This window comes from Homo sapiens, chromosome 2, assembly GCF_000001405.40.
Source record: "Homo sapiens chromosome 2, GRCh38.p14 Primary Assembly".
Lineage (NCBI taxonomy): Eukaryota > Metazoa > Chordata > Mammalia > Primates > Hominidae > Homo > Homo sapiens.
Window position 1 is genome coordinate 595087 of NC_000002.12, and position 26368 is coordinate 621454.

The window sequence follows — 26368 nt, forward strand, 5'->3', positions numbered from 1 at the left end:
AAGGATTGTCTTGCCAGAGGTTAGTGACCAGGGACTTAAAGGAAAGGCCAGTGAGCAAAGAGGAGCCTTCTTAGTTCCGCAGACCTCGTGCCTGCCGTTGTAGTAAGCGAGACTGAGCTCAGCCACGCTCACCCGCGGAAAGCACAGGGATGCTTGCCAGGAGGCTGGGGGAGGATCACAAGACACGAGGGCTGACGAGGATGGGCAGAGCATCCCCTGCCTGGCCGGGGGTCCTTGGCCAATTCGAAAATAGATAACAGGGGGTCTCAGAGCTCCCGCGGCAAGAGCTACTTAGGCACTGCAAGGTACTTGGATGACGTCATTGTCTTCAGTAGAACCTTGAAGAAGTACCAGAGACTCCCAGGCAACGTAGCTGAAATCTGTCTCAAGTAGAGCCGTCCAGGGTCTTCATCACGTGGGCAAGGCTTTTACCACGATGACAGCACATAAGAAAGTCGGCCTTGCTAGCAGCAGAGACAGGCCTGGTGTCACTGACCCTGAGGCAGGACTCTTATAAACCATATAATTTAATTCTCTGCCAGCTCAAGCTGATCCCTGAGATCATCCTCTGCATGAGAATCACCATGTACTGCAGCATGGATGGACTGAGGCCCCGGAGGGCCCCCACGTCCTGGATGAGGAGCCCACAGTGGCCACGGTCCTTGATTCAGAATAAAACAAAGACAAAAGCAATCAGAAAACGCATGCACCATAAGGCTGAGCCATTTTTCAAAGACGTCAAAATAGGAAAATAATCAAATGGAAGAAAACTGAGAATTCCATCCGCTGGCTTGCTCCAGAGGCCTCTCCGACCTCAGGCCACAAAGAGGGGAGGCCTGCGGAGGGGCTCTGCCTGGGTGGAAATCCCTCTGGTTTTTGTCTTCCACCAGATGTTGGTGTCATCAATTTCATCCTTCTCAGCATCACAGCTAATGTTAAAAGGATTCAGATCAGGAGAGACTGAAGTGCTGCAGCCCTGATAATGCTCCCAGTGAGAATTTGTGCAAAACGTTTCCCCTGGAGCTGCAAAACCAGATCCAGGCAGGGCCCTGGGCGCTGAGGACAGAATCTCTACGTCCTCCCCTCTGCAAAACCAGATCCAGGCAGGGCCCTGGGCACTGAGGACAGAATCTCTACGTCCTCCCCTCTGCAAAACCAGATCCAGGCAGGGCCCTAGGCACTGAGGACAGAATCTCCACCTCCTCCCTTCTGCAATGCTGCCTCTTCACAGGTAGAGCTTTCACTTCTCTTCAGCTTCTCGCCAGCCAAGGATGCAGGGAACAAGCAGCTTGCCATCACAGTCTCAGGTATTTTTGCTTTGCCAGCTGGGCTCCTATGAACAATGTGTCCAGCCACAGGCAAACAACCTGAGAGTGACAGCGTGAGTCAGGACCTCACAAGAAGCCTGGCCAGAGGCACGGACGGCAGATAGGACACAGATGGGGCGACCAAATACATCTGGGGCAGTAGTGTGTCCTGACAGATCTGCGGGGGGTGGGGGGCACAGTAATCTTGGGCCTGGCTAAGATTTGACGGGAGAACATTGACCCAAGTCCCCAGGAGAACATTGAAGAGAACTGTGGCTGACTGTCAAAGGGAGAAGCAACCGCAGAGTTTTCTTTCTGGTTCAGAGGAGATGTGAGGGGTGTAGCCTGCGGAGCAAGGACAAGGGGTCCTAGAACGCTGTTGTTGGTCATTCAGCCGAGGGCTTCACTTCTCAGCCTGCACAGCTTTCCGCCTGTGAGTGTAGGTTACGTCTATACACACACATGAAATGATCTATTCTCACTCGGCTGCCCATGTCTGAACACGGTGGTATTAGGAGGAATAGGAAAGCAACATCCTACCGGATCACATTGCTTCAGTGAAACCATTTAAACCCCTGAGCCTCTGCATGCCAATCAACACTGCGAGTGGTGAGAATGCCTGTCTCATGGGGGTTTGTGAAGACAAAATGTAAAAATAAAATGTGGAGTGCTTGGTAAACTAAAGTTCTAATAAATATTAGTCGTTACTATTATTATATCAGAAGTCACAAGACTGGAATAGTTCACTTGAATAAAAACTCAGTGCAGAGAAGTTGGATAAATTGGTGAGTTTAAAACTTCAATAGGACTAAAACTATGCCAGTTAATTTATTCATGTATGCATATTCATTAACTTATTTATGCTGAAATGAATTAAAGGTTTAGTGCGTGCGTGGAGCTGGGGACACACCACCATCAAGGCTGCATGAACTCTGTCCACACCACGGCTGTTTTCAAACAACCACAGAAGAAAATAAGTGGGAAACACCGGTTACTTTCTTCAGTTGATAACTCAGCTGACTAAATAGCTCATGTTAAGTCAGTCTTAATGAGGAAATCAGAACATTCAGGGCTTTGGGATTAGAACTACACATCTCTCTGGCAAGCATTCAGAGCTCTTTGGGTCAGACATCAGTGGCTGCAGAAATGTTACCTGAAAAACCCGCAGCCTTTCTGAACGCTTGCGGGAGTTTCCTTGCCTTTCGGGCCACTGTATTGTAGCAGGACAAGCCGCAGACAAAACTCCTCAAACACCGGATTAAAGAAGGAAGAGGTTTTTATTCAGCCAGGAGCATTGGCAGACTTGAGTCTTAAGAGCTGAGCTCCCTGAAAAAGAAATTCTTGGCCTTTTTAAAGGCATACAACTTTAAGGGGTCCACGTGAAAGGGTCGTAGTACATCAAGCAAGCGTGGGAAACGTGACTGGGGGCTACAGGCATCAGCTAACAGAACAGAAAGTTTTACAATGCTTTTTTCATACAGTGTCTGGAATTTACACAAGTAGTTTAGGTCAGGGGTTGATGTTATTATTATCACTTTTTTTAACTCCTAGGGCCGGGTGGTGGTGCCAAGGTTATCTGGCTATTTATCTTACTTTTGTTTTTTTCCAACTTTTTGCTTTTTCTCTCTTCCTGTTTTGTGAACTAGGCAAGGTGGGGGGAAGGAGGGCATCAGGAGGAGTAGTGGTCTCCTTCCTTAGTGTGAGGAAAAACACTCATGACCCTAAGTGTCGCAAACTGCAGAAGAGGCAAGATGGTAGCCTGCCACTCCCTGTCAAATGCTTGTTGCCCTCTTCTGGGCCAGCCTCGTCCACCCAGCCCGCGATGCCCTCTGAGACAGCCCAGCCACCGCACCGCCCGCCCTCGGGTGATTCAGGACTAATCAGAGCATCAGGATGCTGGGCACGCCGTTAGCCGGGGCGATTCAGAGTCATCTGCTGTGGAGTGGGGCTCAGAGTGAGGGATGTGGTCACTCACGCCATGTTGATGATTCAAGCTCTTCTCTGTCAACTCAATGCCTGTGGAGTAGAAGGAAGTACATCTGTTTATCTCTTGGCCAAAAGAGCAAGTTAATACATTTTTTAAAACTTTGACATTTCATCTTAAAGCAACAGTGGGCCTTGTTTAACTAGAATCTCATTTCTGCAGCCTGATTTTGCTGGAGAGACTCCCAACACAGGCAAGCCCCGGGAGGACAGAGATCAGCAGGGGTGCTGGCGCCAGATGCCTTTGTTCCTCAGCCTTCATCCCACTCAGTTACAAAATTACATGAGAGGCTAGATAAGCTTATTCCCTAGCCCTTTTTTAAGGTTCAAATGTTACTACATTTTATAAGAAAATACAGTTTTTGAATCAACCCTCGGAGGCTCCAGCCTTCAGGAGACACTGGTGAGTACCGCCATGCCTCTGGCCTCAAAGCGTGGTTTGCAAACTGGTTTGTTCTTTGCAGGATAAAACCGCACTGGTGGCCACGGGTGCCCTGGTTAGCAGAGTCGATGGGATTTTCTCTGGCTTTCGCCTTGTGGGCATCATTAGCACCCTGGAGTCACTTGCAGGCCTCTGTGCAGATGTCCTGCCGAGGGGCTTCAGGCTGTAAAAGTGAACCAGTGGACACAGGACCTGCCTGGACTCCCAGCCTCACAGAGCAGAACCACAGCCCAGACTGCCCTCTGCCCAATACACACTTGTTTTGGAACTTTAATCCATCAAAGCATCCAAATAAAAAATATGTAGACTCCCCACCCTATCCCATCTGCCTTTGTGTCCTAATTCCCAAATAGACATCCCATCACAGTGGTTTTCTCTGTGACGGGGACTCCTGCATTGGACTCCATCCCTCCCTTGCTGGAAAAGCACAGGTGCTGTGGCGTGAGATCAACCAACTTACTTCAATTTGCTGATCTTGGGGTAATAATTCTAAAATAGGGGAACAATACCCCTGTCAGTGTACTTGGGAGAACCTCCCCATTTCTTGAGGCCCCAGAAATGCAAACACTCCTGTTTTTGTTGTCAACTCTGGTGTCAGAGCTGTTCACGCCATGGGCACTGGTCATCGACTTACCGTGGATAGTCAAGCTTTTAAGTCCCAGGAATAAAGGGTTCCTACTTCTTTAAGCTGTGTTTATTTTACACTGTTGCTGGTATACTCGGTGGGTACTTAGTGAGGATGAGGAAAAAGTGTCAGAGAGTGATTTCCAATAAGATGGAAAATGATCCGCAGTTTCTCCTCCCTTAACCAGCACATGACGTCTGCCCTGTGGCATCAGATAGTGGAGGCAGTGGCGCTCCGTGTGGGGCCTCCTGGCTGAAGGAGGTGACAACAGTTTGTCCTGTCTTCCTAGACGCTGTGTGCACCTCGCCCCGCTGGTGATTTACTTGAGAGGAACCCATGTGTGGGGTAGGGAGTGTTGCCTTTGGCTTCTACCCAGGTCCTGCTGTGGACTCTGCCTCTTACCAGGGGTGACTTGTGTGAGCTGGGACCTCTTCACCCAGAGGAGAGGGAAGAGGGTCCCCCTCACCTGGCGGCTGTGAGGGCCCAGTCCCCCCAGATTCAGGCACTTCACAGTTAACACAGTGAAGATTCAAGATGATAGAGACTTCCATTGGCTCATCGGAGTGCAGCACTCCCAGACATCAGCTCCATTCAGAGACAGCTGCTCCGCTGAGCGCTGCTGTTTGCTGGGGGTCGTGAATACCCTAAATCTCCATAGGTTGCCAGCTTGAGTCAGGAGTAGAGATATTTATGTGCATGAGTAATAAATAGCGACTTTTGTGAAAGTTAAAATGAAAGAAAATGAAACGAAGGAAAAGACAACTTGAATATACAAAGGTCTTCAAACACAGGATTCGCTTTTTCACTTTCAGTCCTTTTTTGTTGGTCACGAGGCCTATGGAGGTATTAACATGTAACTTCGTTCTTCAGGCTCCGCCAGTCCCTCTCTTACCTTGCAGGGGATTTAGGAATTTGCAGGCGGCAAACTTCTAAGAGCTAGAATTCTTGACCCTGCCTGGGAGAATCACGGTGATTCTGCAACTGCAGGCTCCTGCCTTTCAGAGTAGGCATTTTAAATTCTGTCACTGCCACACTTGCAGTGGTGTCGTTTGTCATTTTACCTGATGGAAAAATTATTTGTGTAAAACTGACATAAAGGTTCTGATCTTTCAACACTCACGCTTCCCATGCGGAACAGCGGGGCTCCACTCTGTCCCCAGACTTCAAAAGGGGAGGCAAGAGGTGAGGCCCGGTCTGACTCTCCAGGTGCTCCTGGGGACTGTCCAGAGGCCACTCAGGTCCCAGACGAGCAGCGTCTCACAAGACCAACCTGTCTTGTGGCACAACCTGCCGGCCACAGAGGCCGCTGCCAGAGCCATTGTCCCAGACAGTCTCAGACAGCCCCAGACAGCACGCCGCCTCGCCAGTCCAGGGAATGCTCTCTTTGCCACAACGTGTGGTCGAGGGACTTCATGGAGAATGTTCTTGTGGATGTCAGGAGCTTCTTAGGGTTCTTTAATAATAAACCCCGTGAGAAGCAGGCCCTGAGCATGGTGGGTGCTCAGTGCGCATCTGTGTTGCAAGTACATGATGAGCTGTCCAATCGGATGCTTGTGGCACTGGACGTGGTAATCCAGACCAATCAGAGGCCTGAGGCACTGGGCATGTGGATCTGGTCCAATCAGTGGCCTGCAGCACTGGGCGTGGTAATCCAGTCCAATCAGAGGCCTGCAGCACTGGATGTGGTGATCTGGTCCAATCAGAGGCCTGCAATGCTGGACGTGGTAATCCAGTCCAATCAGAGGCCTGCATCACTGGGTGTGGTGATCTGATCCAATCAGAGGCCTGCATCACTGGGCCGGGTGATCTGGTCTAATCAGAGGCCTGCCGCACTGGGCTTATGGATCCGGATGGCATCTTCTGCCTGTGGCTCTTTCTTCTCCTCCAGTGCACAGAGTCTGCATTAATCAGGGTTCTCCCAAGAAACAGAAGCAACAGAACGTGAGGACAGACACAGAGGGAGATTTGCTATAAGGAGCGGACTCTTGATTGGCAAGGCCAATCAGTCCCGGATCTACAGGACGAGGGGGCAGCCGGGGGCCGGGGGAGCCCTGTGTGGCTCTGGTCCAAGGGCCCCCAGGCAGGAGGAATTCTCTCTCTCAGGGGAAGGGCAGGCTTCTTGTTCCATGTGGGCTTTGGCTTAATGGGACGAGGCCCCTGCGCTGGGAAGGGCAAACTGCTTTACTCCGTCTGCTGATTTAAACATTAACGTCGTCCAGAAACATAGCCAGAGGCACCCAGAATAAGGCCTGATCACTCTGGGATCCCTGTGGCCCAGTCAAACTGGCCATAAAACTGAGGTTCACAGCATCTAAGAACTTTCTCTTCCTCCTCACGCCAAGACCCCCACGTGTGTTTCTAGACAAGGCATACATCACGGAGCGCAACCACTGACGGGTTTTCTTCAGGATTTTCCTTAACTCAGTTTCCCAATGATGGCCAAATATCTGCACCGGCCAGGTTCCTGCGGGCGGTGGCTCAGACGCCGGCTCATCAGTGTCTGCGACGGCCCACAGTGCACACCACACTCCCATTCCCTGGGCCCCCACACTAAGAGGACCATTCCAGACTGAAAGCCAAGGCTCTGGTGGGCGTTCCTATCCAGACAGTCGGAATTAGAGTCTGGATTCTAAGTGGGGCACCTGCCTGCTTCCCAGCCTTCTTCCTCCAGGGCTTGAGGCTGGGACGCAGGTCTGAGCGCATCCACACCGGGAGCCCACGCGGGCTACGGGTCCCCAGGGGACTGGTTTTCCAGGAAATAACGAAGCAGCCACCTAGAGAAGAGTCAGAGTGGAAGCCCCGACCCTGCAGTGCTGAGGGAGCGGCCCCGTTCCTGCCTCCGCCAAAACTGTCGAGTGTTCTGTTACTGACAACCGAACATTCCCAGCTAAAACAAAGCTTGTCCTATGCCGCCCTGCAGGAATTGTCCATGGGCTACTTGGCTACGGGAGTTCTATTTCGAAAATGCTGAACCCAGACAGAGAGGCAGACTGTTTGACCTGGAAGCCGGCTCTGACACAGGCCTGGGGCCGCCTCAGATCACTGTGTGAGTGGAAGGGGCCAAGTGAGTGTTCATTTGACTTCTGCTACTGAACGAATTATGCCAAGGCTTTTTACATCCTACGCCAAGGTGGGCTTCACGAGCCAAAAACACAGGTGCACAGAAGAAAGGGGACCACCGGTACAGCAGGCTTTAATCTGACACAGTCCACAAGGCGTCTGTGCAGGGCGTGGTCCAGCACCATCGCTGTAGTTCAAAGAACAGCAAAGGCTGGGACACAAATCCTTTTGTCGGCTACACAGCCATCCCTTCCGGATCCCAGGGCCTCACACTCCTAACCCGCAGCTCACCCAGGACCCAGGAGGCACATGCAGGAAATGCCGGTAAACAGCTTGGCCACATGGCTGGAGGATCGTCATGGGTTTTGAAGCAGAGATTTTTCATAGGTCAGGCATTAGATAAAAATGATGACCTTATTTTGAAAAACACAATGTATTGGAACTTCAAAGGGTTTCCATCAATATTCAAGGATGATTCTTTCAGGATATAACAAAATTTACAAGATAAGGAGACAGTGAATCACTGAGCTGATTCATCTATTGACTTCAAGAGCAAGTTGGAAACCTGTGTTTTAATGCAATATAGGTAAGGCAGTGTGCCCAGTGACCCAAAATTAACCTCAAATTCAATCATAAACTTCAAAACCAGAGCCACCCCCAGTGCACCCATGGTTCAGTGTGACTCTGCAAAGCTGCCACCCAGTTCAGATGTGAGCAATGCGACCTGGCTGTGGCGCCCCTGACCCCAAGTCTGCACCAACCTGTCGTCCAGGTAGGAGGGGCTGCACAGCTTCCTCCCAGACAGGTCCAGGAAGAAAATGTTTTCCTTTAGAGACTGCGCCAGCCTGAGTCATGATTCCCTCCCCTCTGTGAGGTGTTTGAAAATGAAATACATTTTTTGAAATCTCTAACAATTTATAAAAACTAAGTTCCTTGTTTCAGCCTATATATGCAGAGAGAGAGACCGTATGTATTAGTCTGTTCCTATGCTCCTAATAAAGACATACCTGAGACTGGGTAATTTATAAAGGAAAAAGGTTTAATGGACTCACACATCCACATGACTGAGGAGGCCTCACAATCATGAGGGAAGGCAAGGAGGAGCAAAGGCACGTCTTACATGGGGCAGGCAAGAGAGTGTGTGCAGGGGAACCACCCTTTATAAAACCATCAGACCTCATGAGTCTTATTCACTACCACGAGGAAGTGCGGAGGAAACCGCCTCCTTGATTCAATTATCTCCCATCAGGTCCCTCCCACAACACATGGGATTATGGGAACTACAATCCAAGGTGAGACTTGGGTGGGGACACAGCCAAACCACATCACCATATTTGCTCACAGCATTCACTTCTGTGGTCTTAAATTTTTATTGGTATGAAATCCAATTATTTTGCCTCACAAACATCTTTAAAGGTTCTTTCTTGCCTTTGGTGTTTGAGGAGGTGGCAGCCCACTCACGTGGAAGGGAAGGGAAAGCAGATGGCTGGCCGCCTCCCCTGCAGCTCAGAGCTTGAACTGAACTGTCTTCTTTTCCTGGCTGGCACGCAGTCTTCTGTCAGCCTTGTTCTGTCCACACGCCCTGTGGGCCTGTCCCAGAGGCCACTGATCCAAGTGAGATCTCCACGATTCCCGGGGATTACAGCCACAGACGTCTTTCAGCTGGAGATAAGCAACATGGGAATGAATCAACATCGTACCTGCTCACTTTCATTCAGATGCACTCAGGATGTACAACATGCACCCTATCTTAAAGAAGTAAGCAGTTTACAGAATAGCTCATCAACACATTGAAAAATAAAACATTTAGAAAACATCTGAATCCAACCATTCAGATGCTGAACCGACCATAATCATTTAAATAAAATGCAATAAAATCAAGCACACTCCTTCATCCACATTGCACCTGAGCGCAGGCTCACAATGCAGCCGGACAAACGCGGCAACAGCTCAGGGCCCACTGAGCACAGCGGGGGACACAGAGGGGTCGAGAGTAGCAGGGGGTCCCAGGCTGAGAACAGAGGCCAGAACCCACCTAGATGGTGGAGTCCCCAGAGGCCTCCTCCTCGGAACTGCCCTGCCCTGCCCGGAGCCTACAGAGGTCTGTGTCTGCACAAGCCACACCTGTGCAAAATAGCCACACACACTTGTGTGTGCACACAGATCCTAAACTGTACACACACGCAGGTATCCTACATGCACCAAACACACCACACAGCCACCACACACACCACAAACAACCCCCACACACCACACACACAACACACACTATACACACACCACACCACACGCGACACATCACACACACCACACATGCCACACACAAGACCACACGCATTACACAACACACAACACACACACCACACACCAGACACACACAACACACACGCCACACATGCCACACACACCCCACACACAACACACACCACATACATACCACACACCCCACACACACACCACACACCAGACACACACCACACACAACACAACACACACACCACACACAACACATCACACAACACACACCAGACACACAACACAACACACACCCCACACAACACACAAACTCCACACACTATACACCACACACACAACACACAAAGCACACACCACACACCAGACACACCACACACACAACACACACAACACACAAAGCACACACCACACACCAGTCACACCACACACACACACCACATCCACCACAGACACACTACACACACCACACCTCACACACACCACATATCAAACACACCACACACACACATGCTTCACACCACACACACACCACACACACACCATGTATGCACCACACACACACCACACACTATACACACACCACACACACACTATGTATGCACCACACACACAATACACACTATACACACACCACACCACACACCTCACACATATCACACATTACACGTGTACAACACAGCCACACATACCTTTGTGTGCATGCAGATTCTAAACTCTACACACATACATGTACCATACACACACTGCACACACCACACACTCACTACACACATACACGCACCACGCACACGCACACCACGCCACACACACTCTACTCCACACACACATCAGACACATCACACTTTACACACACACCACACTCAACACTACACACCCATACAAACAAACACACATGGACACACACATGCATGCACAAAAGCAAATCTCACGTAAACACCAAACCTAGATTTCACTTTGAAAGTGCACTTGGGGCTCCAGCCTGTCCCAGCCAGTGCTGCTGTCTGAAGAGGCAGGTGCATGGGGCCTGAAGGTTTGGTGTTTTGAGTCACCTGACTGACTGAACGGGCATGTGCAGGGAAGCCTGGTGGATTTAGAAGGAAAAGGAGGAGGATGGAATCCAAGGCCTGCGGCTGGAGGCCCGGCCGCCCACCCTCCACTTGCTCACCTGTGTGTGGCTTCCATGCTGCAGGTGAGCCCCCAGAGCCCCACACACACGCCTGGGCGCCAGCACACCTGGGTCCCCTGGCTCGTGGCAGCGAGGGAGGCACCCTGGGCCAGCAGGGGCACAGGTCTGAGGAGCAGGTAGAGGCTGCCTGTGTTTCTCCTGCTGTGCAATAGACCCTTAAACATGCAGCGTAAAACACAGGCCTTTGCCACCTCACTGTGGCAGCTGGTCACACCCAGGCGCCGCTCTCCGGAGCCTTCTGCAGGCGATGGGAAGGCTGCGCTGGGCGTGGGCTGGGCCTGCTCATGTGGAGGCCGGACAAAGGAGAGCCTGGCTGTCGGCTCACACGGAGCTGACCTGGCCATATCCCCTGCTGAGGGACCCAGGGCTGCGTGTCCCACCCCAGGGGCACCCCTGGTCTGTCTCCCAGTCGGCCTAGAGAGCATGTCATCTAATGTAACCAACGCAGAAAAATGCTGACTTGCATAAATGTTGAAAACAAGATTACAAAAGAGTGACTATAACAGTATCCTTGTTTCGAAAATGGTAATGCATACAGATTGGCAAAATGTTACCGATTATTTCTGGGTGATGGGAATAATGGGGAATTTTACTTTAGTTTAACTTACTTTTATCCTATAATTGAACATGTTATTTTTACCCTAAGAAAAAGTATTTTACCTTAAAAATATAAACACGTGTTGCACTAATTGTAACATATTGTATCACTTTTTCTGACATTAGCACAAATATCAACATATTCTGAACCCCGACTCTAACATCGGCATTTTCTCCCATTTTGTCTAAAAGAATAAGAGAAACCATCACTTTTCAGGAGAGTCCAATGGAATATTAATTTACAGCCTTCCTTTCATAATTGTTTTAATTTTAAGATGTTATCCTGTATTTCTGTTGTGTGCCCAGGGATTTAAATTGGACAGAATAAGAATTTAAGCTGCAGAGTTTGTTTTCAGCACGATTAGCTCACGTGTCACCTTGGAAATCCACAATGCTTCAGGATTTGCCTTTCCCAGCTGCCACCCTGCCTTCCTGAATTCTTCCGGACTCTCTGCATGGAGGTTTCAACGTCTGTCATTTAAGGATGATTTCCTGAGCACTGTTGTCCAAGAGGATCCCACAAACTGTGGAAATGCTTACTAGGAAGCTGTCCTTCAGTGGAGGTGTCTGGACCCTGGAGAAGAAGACTGACGACTGTGCATTCCACAATTGCAATCTATACACAATTTGAAAGTGGAGGGAAAAATGCCACAATCTGTCAAGAGCTGAGAATCGAGTGTCAGGAAGGTTCTGGGGGCCCTGAGCGTGAGGGGTTGGTCGGGCCGTCTGGATCTGGGTGAGGTGGGATTCTTGGTGACCAGAGGATGCTCCAGGTGGGAAGAGCAGAGGCCACAGCCACAGGGATCGGGGCCTAGTGCATCTTCCCATGCCCTTGTCCATCCCCAGGAGGGCCGAGCTCACCCACCATGGGAGGAGACTAAGTTTCAGTGGGTCACACCAGCGTGAGGTGAGGCGGTGGCCACAGGTCCCAAGCAGAGGAGAGGACCTGTTGCTCACTTTTAAATTGTATTTTATCATATGTTTTAGAAATAGTCTTTCTCCTGTGCCGAAAACCCAAAATTTATGGTTCTGGAAATAATCACAATCGGACTTCCAAGGTCTGTGTTTCCTCAAGCGCATCATCCTCTGCTCTCATGAAAGCTATTAGAAACTCTGTATTTAATTAAAGTTTAAAGGAGTCACTTCTACATGGAAGATACTACATTCACATAATATTTAGAAGTGGAGATTATCCCTTAAATTGTGGAATTTGTAATTGTGATCTTGTGGGTCTTTACAGTGCTCTTGGTTCTATGAAAGGAAGGGGAATTCAGGGTCTCCTCTGCATCCTTGCCGTGGCTCCTGTGCAGGGAGGCTGCAGGCACCCAGCCTGTGTCTCACCTTCGCTGGATAGACCCAAGAGGCTGAGGTCAGTGTTGTGAGGAAGGTGGAGGTGCTATTCTTTAACATAACAGGATGCAGCCAAATGCACTTCCTAAATGTATGCTTTTCCACGAATCCCACGGATTTCAACTCTTGCCTGGATCTGACACAGAAGGTGCTGATTAGGGAAAGAAATCAGCTATCAAGGCATAAAGTTGGGAACCTGCCTCAGAAAAGCCCTTAAGAAACAAACGTTCCTCCTTCCCCTCTCTGGCTCCTCAAGATTCATCCTGTTTTGTCTTTACTTTTGGAATACATGCAGGTTTGTTAAAAAATGGCTTTATAAAAAACATCGGCAAAATGTGGATTTCTTGCCCAATTACTGGAAAGGTTACCAACACAAGGAAAGGTCAGTCAATTCCTTTGTGGGCGATGTTTTGTTTTGTCTTGTTTATTTCTTTCCTGAATATTTTAAAACTCATTTGAGAAAACTGATTCTGTAGTGTTATTCCAAAATACCCCTGTGGGGAGGTGTCCATGAGCCATCTTATGGGATTGAAGATGGAGGGACGTGGGGCCTGAGGCATGTTTATGACAGCTACACTGTGTTCAGGTTTGGCCCTGGGCAGAGGTGTGTTTTGTCTTGGTCGTTGGTGCAGGGCCTGGCAAAGCTGCTCTGAGGCCCGCAGAGCCAGGGCTGGCTTTGAGTTCAGGCCAGCTCCATGCATCCTGGCCATCCTGCCATTAGCTTTGACGGGTTAAGGAATAGCCTCATCCACTCTTTTTTAGGATTCCGGACGTTTTTGTATTACAACTCCCTGCTCCCATTTTGTCTTTGAAATGGTAGAGAGGCCCCAACTGAAAAAGGCATAAAGTTAAGGACAAATTTAAAATTGGAACTAAGGTGCAGTAAAACCAGAGACTCTCCCTGGGGAGGCACTGGACTGCGAGCTGAGCTTGAGGTACAAAACCAGCTCTTTCAGAACAGGGGCTGGAGGCCACCACTGGTGCCATGTACCCCTCCTCATTTGACACCAGCGGGCAAAGCCTGAGGAGCTGGCGCCCTCTCAACCATCCTCACCTGAGACGTGACCCGTGTCTGTCAGGCAGCCAGGTGAGATGAAGAGGGGTGAGCTGACTCTGACTGGACAGGATCTGTCTAGGGGGTGAGCCGACTCTGACTGGACAGGATCTGTCTAGGGGGTGAGCCGACTCTGACTGGACAGGATCTGTCTGGGGGTGAGCCGACTCTGACTGGACAGGATCTGTCTAGGGGGTGAGCTGACTCTGACTGGACAGGATCTGTCTAGGAGGTGAGCCGACTCTGACTGGACAGGATCTGTCTAGGGGGTGAGCTGACTCTGACTGGACAGGATCTGTCTAGGGGGTGAGCTGACTCTGACTGGACAGGATCTGTCTTAGGCAGCTGCTGTGTCCATGTGATCACATTGTAAAGACCTCGCCTATCGAACGGACATTTCCTTACCTCAAAATTACTGTTCTATTTTAAAATGCATGTTCTGGTTCACTGCAAGGAGTGTTAGATACCAGCTCTGCACATTAATGCAGATATCAGTGTCCAGTGGCTCACAGACACAAAGCTGCAGCCCAGAGAAGCTTCATTTACTGTGGCAGTTCCATGCTTCCGACTCTGTTGGCTATTGATCAATCGGGCAGAAAATCTCTGTGGGTTACAGAATTGCTAATGGGAATAACCATACCCACAGCAGCAATTTACCCACTCAAAACAAATAAACTGGAATTGCCCAAACTGGGCTGCTAATGAGTCAAGAGACATGTCGGGCCCAGGACGGTCCCATCGGCAAGTGTCAGACTCCAGCCGGGGTCTCCGGAAGAGGAATTCTGTGCAGCGCAGAGCCTCTTGAGCTGAGCATCACCAGCTTGGAGACCGCCAGAACCTAAAGCATTGAGATCCCTTGTTGCACTTTCTCATCTGTGTATTTTCTTTGAAAGACGCTGAGAATGATGGAGCTGCATCCTTTGAAGGCAGTCATGTTCCCGGGAATGAGGAGCTTTCAGAGTTTAATTATGGAACGAGCTGCAGACACATCTACAGAAGGTGAAATGAGTCTAAAACAGGCCTCCTTTAAAACCTGTGCAGATGCAGAGGCTGCATTCTTCAGACGTGAGGCTGGCTGGGAGTTGAATCAGGTGGGGCCGTCTGAGGATGCAGCTGGGACCTCAGCTTCTGTGTTGCTGGCGTCCTTGGGTAGACAGCGGGCCCTTTGCCCCAGGCCTGGCTGGGTCTGGCCCTGCACTACACACCAGCGCCATGCACATGGTAAAGAGTAGCACCTGCTCTCATGAGCATCAGTGGATTTGGGTGCCTGATTTCTCCAAGGAAATGCCAGGCCCCATCACGCCTCCCCTAGGGCCAGGAATACCCCAGCCTGGAGAGGCTGGCAGCTTCCCAGATATGCCACGCTCCTCCTACCCGGATCATTCACCAAGAAATCAGGAAAGAGAACTCCAGGGCGAACCCAGGACCTGGCCCCATACCACAGTCTGAGCACATTCTAGACACAAGAAGTAGGTTTTCTCACAATAAGGAAACATTAATACACATTATGCATTATCCAATAGAAAGCACAAAAATACCAGACTCAAGTCTGAATGTCCCACAAGGAGATCCCCTCTGCCTTCCTCCAGAGCTTGGATAAAGCTCCTTCTTCTACAGAAATGAAGCTGCCATGTGACCCTGCCCAGGACCCTGCAGTGCACACGGCTGCCAGCCAGTGACTCCTCCAGAGTCCCTCAGAGGCAGGAATAGGCCCTGTTAACTTGTTTATCCTCAGCTATCAGCCTCGTGTCTTCCAGAGATAAAATATACAGCAAATAATAGATAAATTAATCCAGGCCACACATATTTATGTGTGGGGTGGCTTTGTCTGGCACCATGGAAACAGTGGCAGTGTCTTCATCCTAGAGAGGTGCTGTCTAACAAGGCAGCTTTCCTCAGGCAGAGGACCCCTGAGGCAGGTGCAGCTATCAGTAAGCACGCATGAACTTCAAAATCATTGTGATTAATATGTGCAAGAAATGATACAGTGGACATTTCAGAAGATAATTGGAAGCTATGAAAAAATTCTATTGAATATTCTAGAATTTTAAAAAGTTCAATCACTGAAATTAAGAACTAAGGAAACAAAAGAGGTAATTCATGAAGTAGGTTTAAAAGATAATATGTAGAAAAAGCACAGAGAGAACACAGGAGAAAAACTACAAGAACTAGACACACAGGCCACACCTCAGACAAGGTGCTGTGTCTGTTGCACTCGTAACCAGGGCTCCAAAGGAGGAGAGGGCATTGTGGAGGAGGAGCAATCATTGAAAAGGTGATGCTTGAAACATTTTGAAAACTGACAAAAGACATAAAGCCACACGTTCAAGAATCCTGAAAGTCCTAGTCAGCAATCAGAATAAAGATCACATAGTCACAACCAGGAATATCAAATTAATTATATGCCAAAAAATGAAAAACCAGGGAAAGAAAGTCTTTCCAGTTTATAATTGCAGGAAGCGAGACTGAGATTTAACTCCTTAACAGAGGTTGAAGCCAGAAGATGGTGTCAGGGCAGCTTCAAAAGCAATAAAAGCAGGCAAATGTGAAAGAAAGTTCTATAGGCAGTAAATATGTTTCCAAAATATAGAAAAAATAATTTAAACTGGAAGGAAAGAATTGAAGAGAACATGAAAAATGAGAGAGACCTTGTCAATTTATTTAGAGATGCTGAATTAGGGTGGAAGACTGTTGCCTCAAATTGAATGGCAGGAAGGTAGAAGAGACACACACAGGCGCTGTCCAACACATCGTCCTCACAGTGAGCGCCACAGCCAGCGTTCAACACAGAGAGGGCTCAGGGGTCTCAGGCAGGAGAGGGGCCTCAGGGGTCTCAGGCAAGAGAGTGGGGCTCAGGGGGCCTCATGCAGGAGAGGGGGCTCAGGAGGTGTCACGTAGTACTATTAGCATAAAGCTGAGGATACAACCAAAACACAAGCAAACATACTGTACCTTAAATATGCTTAAGGTGAGGGTGGGGAGGGGAAAGAGAGAAAGATAGAGACACAGAGACACAGACACAGAGACAGGGCACAGTGAAAAATGTTATGAAAGCCTTGTTTACATAAAAATATAAAACAACATGACAAAACGTAGGTAAAAAAATAACAATAATGTAAGTGGGCTTATAATGGTAATGTAAGTGGGCTTAAAGTACCTTTTAAGATTTTTAGGTTGGCTGCATAGCAAAATGCATTAGTTTGTATATAGGAAACATACTTAAAACAAAATATTCAAGAAGGTAGAAACTAAAGAAAAAGGTTCAACTATAGCAGGCAAAAGAAAAAAGAATTAGGCCTCAGTATTTTGATCTCTGCTGAGGAAGAATTTTGAGTAATAAGCATTAAAAGAGGCCAAGAAGTTTATGTTATAATTCCACAGGATTCAGCTCTTAATAATTATAACCCAGTGACCCAGCAAAGCCTATGATATGCCAGAAACCACTGGAGATACAAGGGGAGGTGGACAGGAACACAGATAACAGGCAGGTCTCTCGCAGCCTGAGATGGGCCAAGCAGCCAAAGCTTTGTAAGGGCCCACGTGTCCTCAGCACAATGATCTGCAAGATGGTTTGGGTGGGATCCATGGAACTCAGGTTCTAATCAAACCTAAAGGTGTCTAATCAAAGAGAAGACATTTTTGCTCCAAATGCACATGGAGCATTTGTAAATTTCTGACCCTAAAGAAAGCCTCAAAAACTCAAAGAATAGAATTTTTTAATTAATAAGACATGATTCTTAGGGCAGAATGCAAAATAAAAATCTAGAAATTAATGATGAATAAAAATAGAGCTGAGATGCATATAAAATTATATTAAGCAACCTTTGCCACTAAAGAAAGATAGAAAATAAAATTTCACAGTATTTTGAAAAAATAATAATAAAAATACAACAAAAAGCATTTATCTTTCAGATAAAAGTTTACTTTGAAAACATTTTTAAATAAAAAGCAAATTGAAAGATATTAAAATTTCAAATGAAGTACAACAGAATGAGCAAAATAAAGCAAGTCAGAAATGAATAAAGTTAAAAGAAGAATCTAATAAATTAGATTCAGATTCTAAATTAGATTCTAACAAATTAGAACCGACAAATCCAAACGTGTTTTTAATAAACTAACAAAACAGGTAAATCTAGTAGCCAAATTAATGAAGAAAAATAGGAAAAAATAAATTAAATTAGAAATGACAAGAGAAAGTCATTTTCTTCCTCTTCTCTTTCAATAAGAGAATTTTAAAATCCCAAGATAAGACTTTATGCAACTTTCTTCAAATAAAATGTAAAAACTAACAGAAATTGAAAAAAATACTTTTATAAAATTGACCACAGTAAAGTCAGAAAGTTTAAACCAATAGCCTTAAAGGAAATAAAATTAAGTAAGGGCTCTCCTGTTGAAAGCAAAAACCCAGAGAGTCTAACAGGGGAATTCAACCAAATTTTATAAATCTGATGATTCCAGTGCTACCTGAATTATTCTGGAGCACAGAAGAAGAAAGAAAAACCTGCAAATGATCTTTCCAAAGGCAGACAAAGAATGAAACACAACAAATTGCTGTCATCCAGTAAAGATGCAAAAAAATTAAATGAAATATTTGCAAACGGAATCTAACAACACATTAAAAAGATGACATATCTTTAACCCAATCACATGGAATATAACAGTCTTCAAAGTGTGATCTGCAGGCCCCTGAGGCCTCGGAGACCGTTTGAGGGGACACCTGAGGCCAGAACAATTTTCATGATGATACTTAGATGCTGTTTTTTCTCCCCGTGTTAACATTTGCACGGTGGTGAAACCAACCAAAATGAGGTGAATAAGTCTGCTGGTGCCTTGGTTCCATCCAACGAAAATGAGGTGAATGAAACTGCTGGTGACTTGGCTCAATCCAACCAAAAGGAGGTGGATAAACTTTCTGGTGCCTCGGCTCAATCCAGGCGGTGGCAGGAGGACCTCAGTCCTCACTGTGTTCATGCCTGTGTCAGGTTCACAACATCCAAAGCTTTTGTCAGCTTCACTTAACGATTCTTTGGGACAATAAGTATTATTAAAAGTACAATTTAAAACAATATTCCGTGTATCAGAACGGGACGTGTACATGAAGGCCCTCAGCTGCACACTGAAGTGAACGCTCCTGTAACGACAAAGCTCCTGACACACGGAGGCCGCTGCTGGCCATGAACACATCCCACTCTAAGAAGGACTCACACGCGGGGGCTTGGGAAACTAAATAACGTGACGTGTCAATTCACCAAAAATGGCTGACAGTATTTGCTGCCCATAGTAAAATTCCAAATTTCAAGCAACAGAAAAATAATTTTAGAAAATCTGCATCCATCACAGTGAGATTGAAAGCTTCCAAGTCCTCCAAGACTTTGGAGTGACACCAGTGATGATGAGAACACATTCCATATTTTGACATTGCAAAATTCAATGTGTCAACATTGGGAAGATCAGTGTAATTTAGTGAGACCAAGATGTTCCAAAATGCCAATTCCTGACATCACAAAATCAGGCCTGGATACAGATCCACTGGAAATGCAGGGTAGGCCAGTGGGTTCTACCTGATGAGGATGCGCAATGCTCAGGGATGTGGGCTTAGACTCCACATTGCAACTAACTTCCACTCATCTCACATCCCTGTTGGATTAAGGAAGAAAGTCCATATTGGCTGAAAAAGCCTTGGAAATCCAATTGTTCTCTATTCAAACTTTAAAGAGATTTGCCAAACTGTAAAATAATTCCACACTTTCCCACTATGTTTTGGTAAATATAGTTGTATTCATGCAAAATATTATTTATGTTCATGTTTAATGGGTTTATTGGTTTATTGTTTTTAAATTTTAAATTACATAAATATGTTAAATATTTCTATTTCTAGTAACTAATATAAACTAGTGAAATACAGTATGGTAACTAATATAAACCACATATACAAAGTATCTTTCAAGCCTCAATAGCTTTTAGAGTTTAAAATTAAGAACGATCAACACAGCACAGCCCTCATTCTGAGTCTTATTTCATGTGGAAACATTTCCTTTCTTGCGAAACTGCAGAAAACCAGATAACCATTGGTTTTACTATTATTTATTATTATATGGAAAGAATTAGTCAATGCAATGAGACAAAAAAAAGACAAAAGAATTTAATTCAAATTCAATCACATTTGAGAGACGAAAAGAAAAAACTATCTCAGTGTGCAATGACATGATTATATAACCGGCAACCCCACCCCCACTGCCCCCAGTAATGTTTAGCTACTACAGGTTGAGCACCCCTTATACAACATGCTTGGGACCAGAAGTATTTTGGATTTTGGATTTTTTTTCAGATTTTGGAATATTTGCATTATATTTATCAGCCCTAACCAAAAAATCCAAAATCCAAAATGTTTCAATGACCATTTTCTTTTAGTGTCATGTCGGTGATCAAAAAGTTTCAGATTCTGAAATGTTTTGGATTTGTGAATTAGGAATATTCACCCTGTACAAACAATGAGATAACTTAATAAAGTATCAGGATATACAATTGTATGTTATCCAATAACTCTCATATGTACAAACAAAAATTGGTTAAGAGGTAATTGAGGAGAACCTTCATTTAAGACAGAAAAAAATAAAAAAGCAGGCTTCAAGTGAAGAAATATACAAAGCCTATAGGAAATGCTCAGAAAAACTCAAAAACAGAATGAAAGAAATGGAAAGGCATGCCATCATATTTTTGTATTTTTTGGCTAAAAGTGCTCAGTATAGTACAGATGGAATTTCTCTCTAATGAAATTTATACATAATGTGATCCCAAGAAAAGTACCATCAGAACTCCCCTCCCCAACATGATCAGGGAAAGTTCAATATGAAGACTGCCTTCCCCAACACGATCAGGAAAAGTTGAATATGAAGGGTTTTCAAGGGCACATATGCAAGAATAGCCAGGGGTCTCCTGCAAAAGAAGAGAATTGCGGGGCTGCTCTAGCCGGTATCAAAATGTGTCATAGAACCTGTGTCAGCAAACAGCGTAGAGTTGCCCCATAGATTGATCAACAGAAAGGGAAAATCCAGAAATCTAGTGAGTGCATACCACATGGGCTGTGGGAACCATGGTAGATCAGCAGTAGGGGACACACTCCTTCCGGGGACACGCGGAGAACCTGTTAGCTGTTTCAGAAAACCACATTCATTCACACAAAGTCATAAGGATAAAGTCCAAAGGAATCAGATATCTAAGGATTAAAGTAATACAATCACATAAGTTATTGAGTAAAACATGGTTGACTAATTTAGCCTTTGACTAGAAAATTTTTCCTAAGTAAAAATTAAAATTAAAGTCCCAAAGCAATATGAAAATTTTAATAAAATGTTAATAAATAGAATATTTTTATACCAAAAACACTAAGCAAAGTAAAAGACAAATGACAAACTGACAATAATATTTTAACTTCTTACTGACAAATGGTACACATATGGATAATATTCAAAACACATAAAGAGTGAAAAAGTAAGTTCAAACATGAAAGACAAACTTTCAAAATAGGATAGTGCATTTGCTTTTTGGACCATCTCTATTAGTGATATTAGCAAAACAAAAAATGCAATGATAACAAAACAAAATAAACAAAAAGCAAACAAAGCACTTTAACCCACCTGCATTAATCATAACGACACATCATGTGCCTTCAGAGGGAAGTAAACAATACCATGTATGCAATGTCCTTGCTGAAAATCAAAATCAAACCTGATATCTATTGCTTTATGGAAAATTCAGGAAACAAAAATATGTGAAAAGGCATCAGAATGACTCTACACTGGGAAGTGCTGCAGGGCAAATAACCACATTTTCTGGACAAATTAACTGCAAGGGAAAGAAAAGAGATTAAGAGAGTGCCATGGATCAAAAGATGCTTAAGAAGTGTATCAGCAATTTGCAACAATGGATCTTATTTGGATTCTGATCAGACAACAAAATTGTTGAAAATAAAATTATGAGAAAATTAGGGAACTTTGGACAGTGACAATATTTCAGAATATAAGATATTTTTAAAAATAAATTTTAAGGGGCTGGGCACAGTGGCTCATGCCTGTGATCACAGCACTTTGGGAGGCCGAGGTAGGTGGATTCCTTGAGGTCAAGAGTTTGAGACCAGCCTGGCCAACATGGTGAAACCCCATATCTACTAAAAATACAAAAATTAGCTGGGCATGGTGGTGCATGCCTGTAATCCCAGCTACGTGGGAGCCTGAGACAGGAGACTCACCTGAACCCAGGAGGTGGAGGTTGCAGTGAGCTAAGATGGCACCACTGCACTCCAGCCTGGGTGACAGAGGGAGACTCTGCCTCAAAAAAAAAAAAAATTATATATATATATGTACACACACATATGTATACATATAAATTTTAAGGGTGTGATAATACTATTAGATTACACTCTTTATAATTCTTATCTCTTAGAGGACATATCAAAACATTTAGCGATAAAATGACAAATGTCTGGGATTTGGATCCAAGAAAACGTGAGAGAGGAAGTGGGGTACAGATAAACCCCTGTAAGTACATAATTATTGAAGCATGGAGGGAAGTATAAACAAATTTATTATATTATATATTATATATAAATACATTATATAATTTATTATATAATTTATTATATTTTCTTGGCTTTAGAGAAAGTTCCACATTTTTCGTAATAAAAAGTTTAAATAAGTGAAGGAGGCAGAAATAGGTTATTTTTCAAACAAAAGTTGAGAGTTCATTAGGAGCAAAACCACACCAAAGGGGATTTTCCAGGAGGGAAGAAATGATGCTTTATTAGTAGTTTGGAGATGCAGGTAGAAAAGAGCAACCACAAATCATTAATATGAGGATCAAAACAAAAGAGTATTGTCTGTATCAAAACAAATTGTCTGGGCGATGTAACCTGTATGGAATAAAAATGGCCAACAGCAGTAACACAAAGCACGAGGGACAATGGAGGGGCATTTCCTCAGCTCCTGGCTTTGTCCAGAGGGTGTTAAGCACACTAAATTCTGTTAGACTTAAATAACTCAGAGAAGTGCTTTGTAACTTCGAGGATAACCATATTATTTCAGTATTAGACTAAGATTTATAACCAATTAACTTTGAGAGTGGGAAATTGAAAAATAAGATCTAAGTACTTCTTTGATAAGAAGAAGGCAGACAGGTTAGAAAGGGAAACCATGGCAAATTGAACAGATAGAAACATTGAGGTGGTCGACTTAAGTTTAAAGGCAGCAAAAATTTCAATAAGTATAAATGTGCTAAATTTGTCAAATAAAATACAAAGGCTATCAGATTGGATAAATGTTTTAAAACTCCAATGATATTCTACTTAATGTCACACCTAAAATGCTGAAAGCAAAGGGATGGAGGAAGTCCACGCCAGGCAAGTCCTAGGAGAATGGAGATTAAACTCTGTCAGTGTCGAGAGCAGAGGGTGAGAGACATTTGAGAGTGACAAAGCATCAACCCCAGAAGATGTAATGATTCTAAACTGTCTGTACCTAATAACAGGGTCTCTATATGTATCAAGCAAAGATTAATAGAAGTAACAGTGAAGTAGGAGGCAGAACTCAACTCCAGAGGCAGGGGCTGGACACCGGGCCAGATTGAGGACTAGCTGAAACAGGGCTAGGGAGGAAGCAGTTTTCCATCAGACATGCCCTCCAGTGGGCCATGTCAGTTTACCATTGCCATGGCAACATCCAGGAGTTACTGCCACTTTCCATGGCAATGACCCAGTGACACAAATGTTACTACCCCTTCCCTAGAAATTTCTGCAAAAACCACCCCTTAATCTGCATGCAATTAAAAGTGGGTATATGCGTGACTGCAGAACTGCCCGAGTTGCTGCTCTCCGCCTCTGGGGTAGCCCTGCTCTGCAAAAGCCGTCACACAGCTGCAACACTGCTTGTTCAGTACAGCTGTTTTCTTCCACCTCTGGCCTGCCCTTGAATTCTATCCTGGGCAAAGCCAATAACCCAGTGGGCTTAGCTCCGCTTTGGGGCTCACCTGCCCTGTGTCTAAAGGAGAACAGGATAGATCCAGGTGCACAGTGAGGGATTTTAAAACACTTGTATGTGAGCAATGTTAAAACCACAGTGTGGAGGAATCAATGCAAAGAACTGAATGAAATTTGTAAAATGCTACTATTTATGAAAAATTCAAAATAAAAATACATGTGGACAAGATGACAATGCATATTTTATATAACTTGTGGAAAGCCACATAGTAAACACTATGGAATGGCTGATGGAGGCAGAGGGAAAGAAAGGAAGAAAGGAAAGCAGAAAAGAGGAAAATCAGGTGAGGTGGAGGAAAGAAAAAGGGTCAGAGGCTTTGCTCAAAAGAGCAAGGAGGACCATGTGCTAGGAGGGAAAGATGGCGTCCACTCCTGTCTGCCCCTGCGACCAACCTGGCCAAGCAAAGCAACGCAGCAGAGTGGAGTGAGGAGAGGCAGGGATGACAGGCAGGCTTCATCCAGCGCTTCTCTCAAAACTGCTGCCTGTCATTTGTGCTTTCATTAATTAATATAATCTTAGTTTTGATCTTAAATCAACACTATTTAGCACCGCACTACGTTACTAAACAATACGTATCCACTAAGAGAGAACTTATACATTGTGTATCTAAAATGGCACAAATTAAAAGTATTTTTAAGTATTATAAAGGTTTACATTTAAATGCTTTGTGTTTTACGTTTCCTTCTATTTCCCAGGGTCCCCTTTTTCATGCAGGGCAGAGTTTTGCTTCTATTTCGTTTTGCTTAGGAACCCTCCCTCAAAGTTCAAGGCTAGATGCACCTATGAAGTTGCAGTAACTTGCTAGCCCTGGGAACCTGCACTCCAGTTAAACATCCTACCTTTTCTGGTCACACTTTAATGACTGGCAGCAGAGTCAGGCAATGGGGACCTCCCCTCGCCAGGCCCTGTGCCTGAGAGGCCTCTCTGGGCAGGGTGGGGTCTGGGTGCAAAGGCTCCCGGGAGGGTGACTGTGGGCATGCAGGAAGAGGGGCCTGCAGCAGGGATGTGCCCATGGCTTCAGCAAACTTCCCTCTCCCTGAAAACTAGAAAAACAAGGACAAAACCACGAAAAATCAGCATGCTCAGGGTACTGCAGAATTTCAGAAAGGTGTTCCAAGGTGGGAATGCCGCAGGAGTGTGAGCCTCTCACCACAGCCCTTCAGCTCCTGCTTGGACAGGCACAACCTGGCAGGGAAAGGCGGTGTCTGCAGCCCGCAGGAGGAGACGCTCTGCGGGGAGGGCGATCGCCCAGAAGTGCCCAGGAGTTGGCTTCGGAGTCGGCACAGTCGTCTCTCCTCCCTGACCATGAGGAGGGGGGCAGAGGTAGCCCACCGGTGACATTTTAGCCAGGGTTAATGGCCATAGCGAGACCAGCGAGGGTATAAATGGTTCAGGAAAAAGGTAATCATTCAACTGTGAAATTACAAGGAATCTGGGGGGAAAAAAGAAACAGAAACTTATTTTAGAATAAATAGCTCCGTTCAGCTTAAAAATGAATTGCTCATTTATCTTAAAATCCTTGATCATCACCAGATTCCAGCATTCATATTTATAAGAGAAAAACAACAAAAAATTAGTAGTTCATTTCATTTTCCATCCTGACTCAGAGAAAATCAAAACTGTGGCTGAATGTCTTTTCTAAATTAGTGGCATGTGGCTGGGCGGGTGACGTCATCGCTAGACATCTAGGGTTGCAGCTCAGAGGAGCCCCGAGTTCTTCACGTGTGGACCCTGCGAGCAGCCGAGCTCTGGGGTCACCGCGTCCCCGCTGCGCGTTGCGGAGGCCACGCCAGGCTGCCCGGATCCACGCGGGAAGGCGGGACTGGGGCTGAGAGAGGCCGCAGCTGCCCGGTCCAGGCCTGCGGCTCCTCTGTCATTATAATTAGGGTCCATTGTGCTCCCAGAGTTTCTTGATTTGGGTGAGAGATGATATGGTGATCCTAAACTCAGCTGTGAGAACGCGCGCTCCGGAGCCAACTGCCTGCCCTGGGCCTGGTCCTGCGCCTCCCACGGCCGCTTCCACCTTCACGCGGCAGGTACGACGCCTCCCCGCAGGCTGCCCAGGGATTCAGTCCCCACCGTGCATACAGTCGGTGCCACATAAACGCTTCCATCCCCGGAGCACAGGGAGCCACGCCCTCAGGTCGGCCTGCTCCACTTCCTTCCCAGCCTCCGGCTGGGCGCGCCCCTCTCCGCGGTCCGGTCCTTGGAGGCCACTTGGGGGCCGCGGATGTCCGTGCGCTCTGGGCTCAGGTCCTAGAGGCGCTCCGAGGTCAAGGGGGCGCGCAGGCGAGTCTGAGCCTCCTCCGCCCTGGGGCGCGCGCAGTCGGGAGCCTCCCTCTCTCCCGGGAGCCCTGGTTTGGCGACTCAAAGGCGGAGGTGTCCCTGGAGAAAGCTCACATCAAGGGACCAGACCCAGCGCCGGTGCCGGGGAGAGGAGAGAGGGCCCGGCCATGTCATCTGAGGCCCCGAGTCCA

The 26368-nt window shown here is 46.2% G+C and overlaps 3 annotated features.

Moving 5' to 3' along the window:
• Nucleotides 7242–8441: an enhancer, noted in NCBI's record as "P300/CBP strongly-dependent group 1 enhancer chr2:602328-603527 (GRCh37/hg19 assembly coordinates)". NCBI's record gives its function as "activates an origin of replication core promoter dependent on BRD2, BRD4, P300/CBP, MED14 and CDK7 cofactors, with strong dependence on P300/CBP, by STARR-seq in HCT116 cells {active_cell/tissue: HCT116}" and the evidence as "EXISTENCE:reporter gene assay evidence [ECO:0000049][PMID:35650434]".
• Nucleotides 13471–14670: an enhancer, noted in NCBI's record as "CDK7 strongly-dependent group 2 enhancer chr2:608557-609756 (GRCh37/hg19 assembly coordinates)". NCBI's record gives its function as "activates an origin of replication core promoter dependent on BRD2, BRD4, P300/CBP, MED14 and CDK7 cofactors, with strong dependence on CDK7, by STARR-seq in HCT116 cells {active_cell/tissue: HCT116}" and the evidence as "EXISTENCE:reporter gene assay evidence [ECO:0000049][PMID:35650434]".
• Nucleotides 25204–25793: an enhancer, noted in NCBI's record as "NANOG-H3K27ac-H3K4me1 hESC enhancer chr2:620290-620879 (GRCh37/hg19 assembly coordinates)". NCBI's record gives its function as "activates a minimal SCP1, AML or CMV promoter by ChIP-STARR-seq in naive H9 embryonic stem cells {active_cell/tissue: H9 hESC(naive)}" and the evidence as "EXISTENCE:reporter gene assay evidence [ECO:0000049][PMID:30033119]".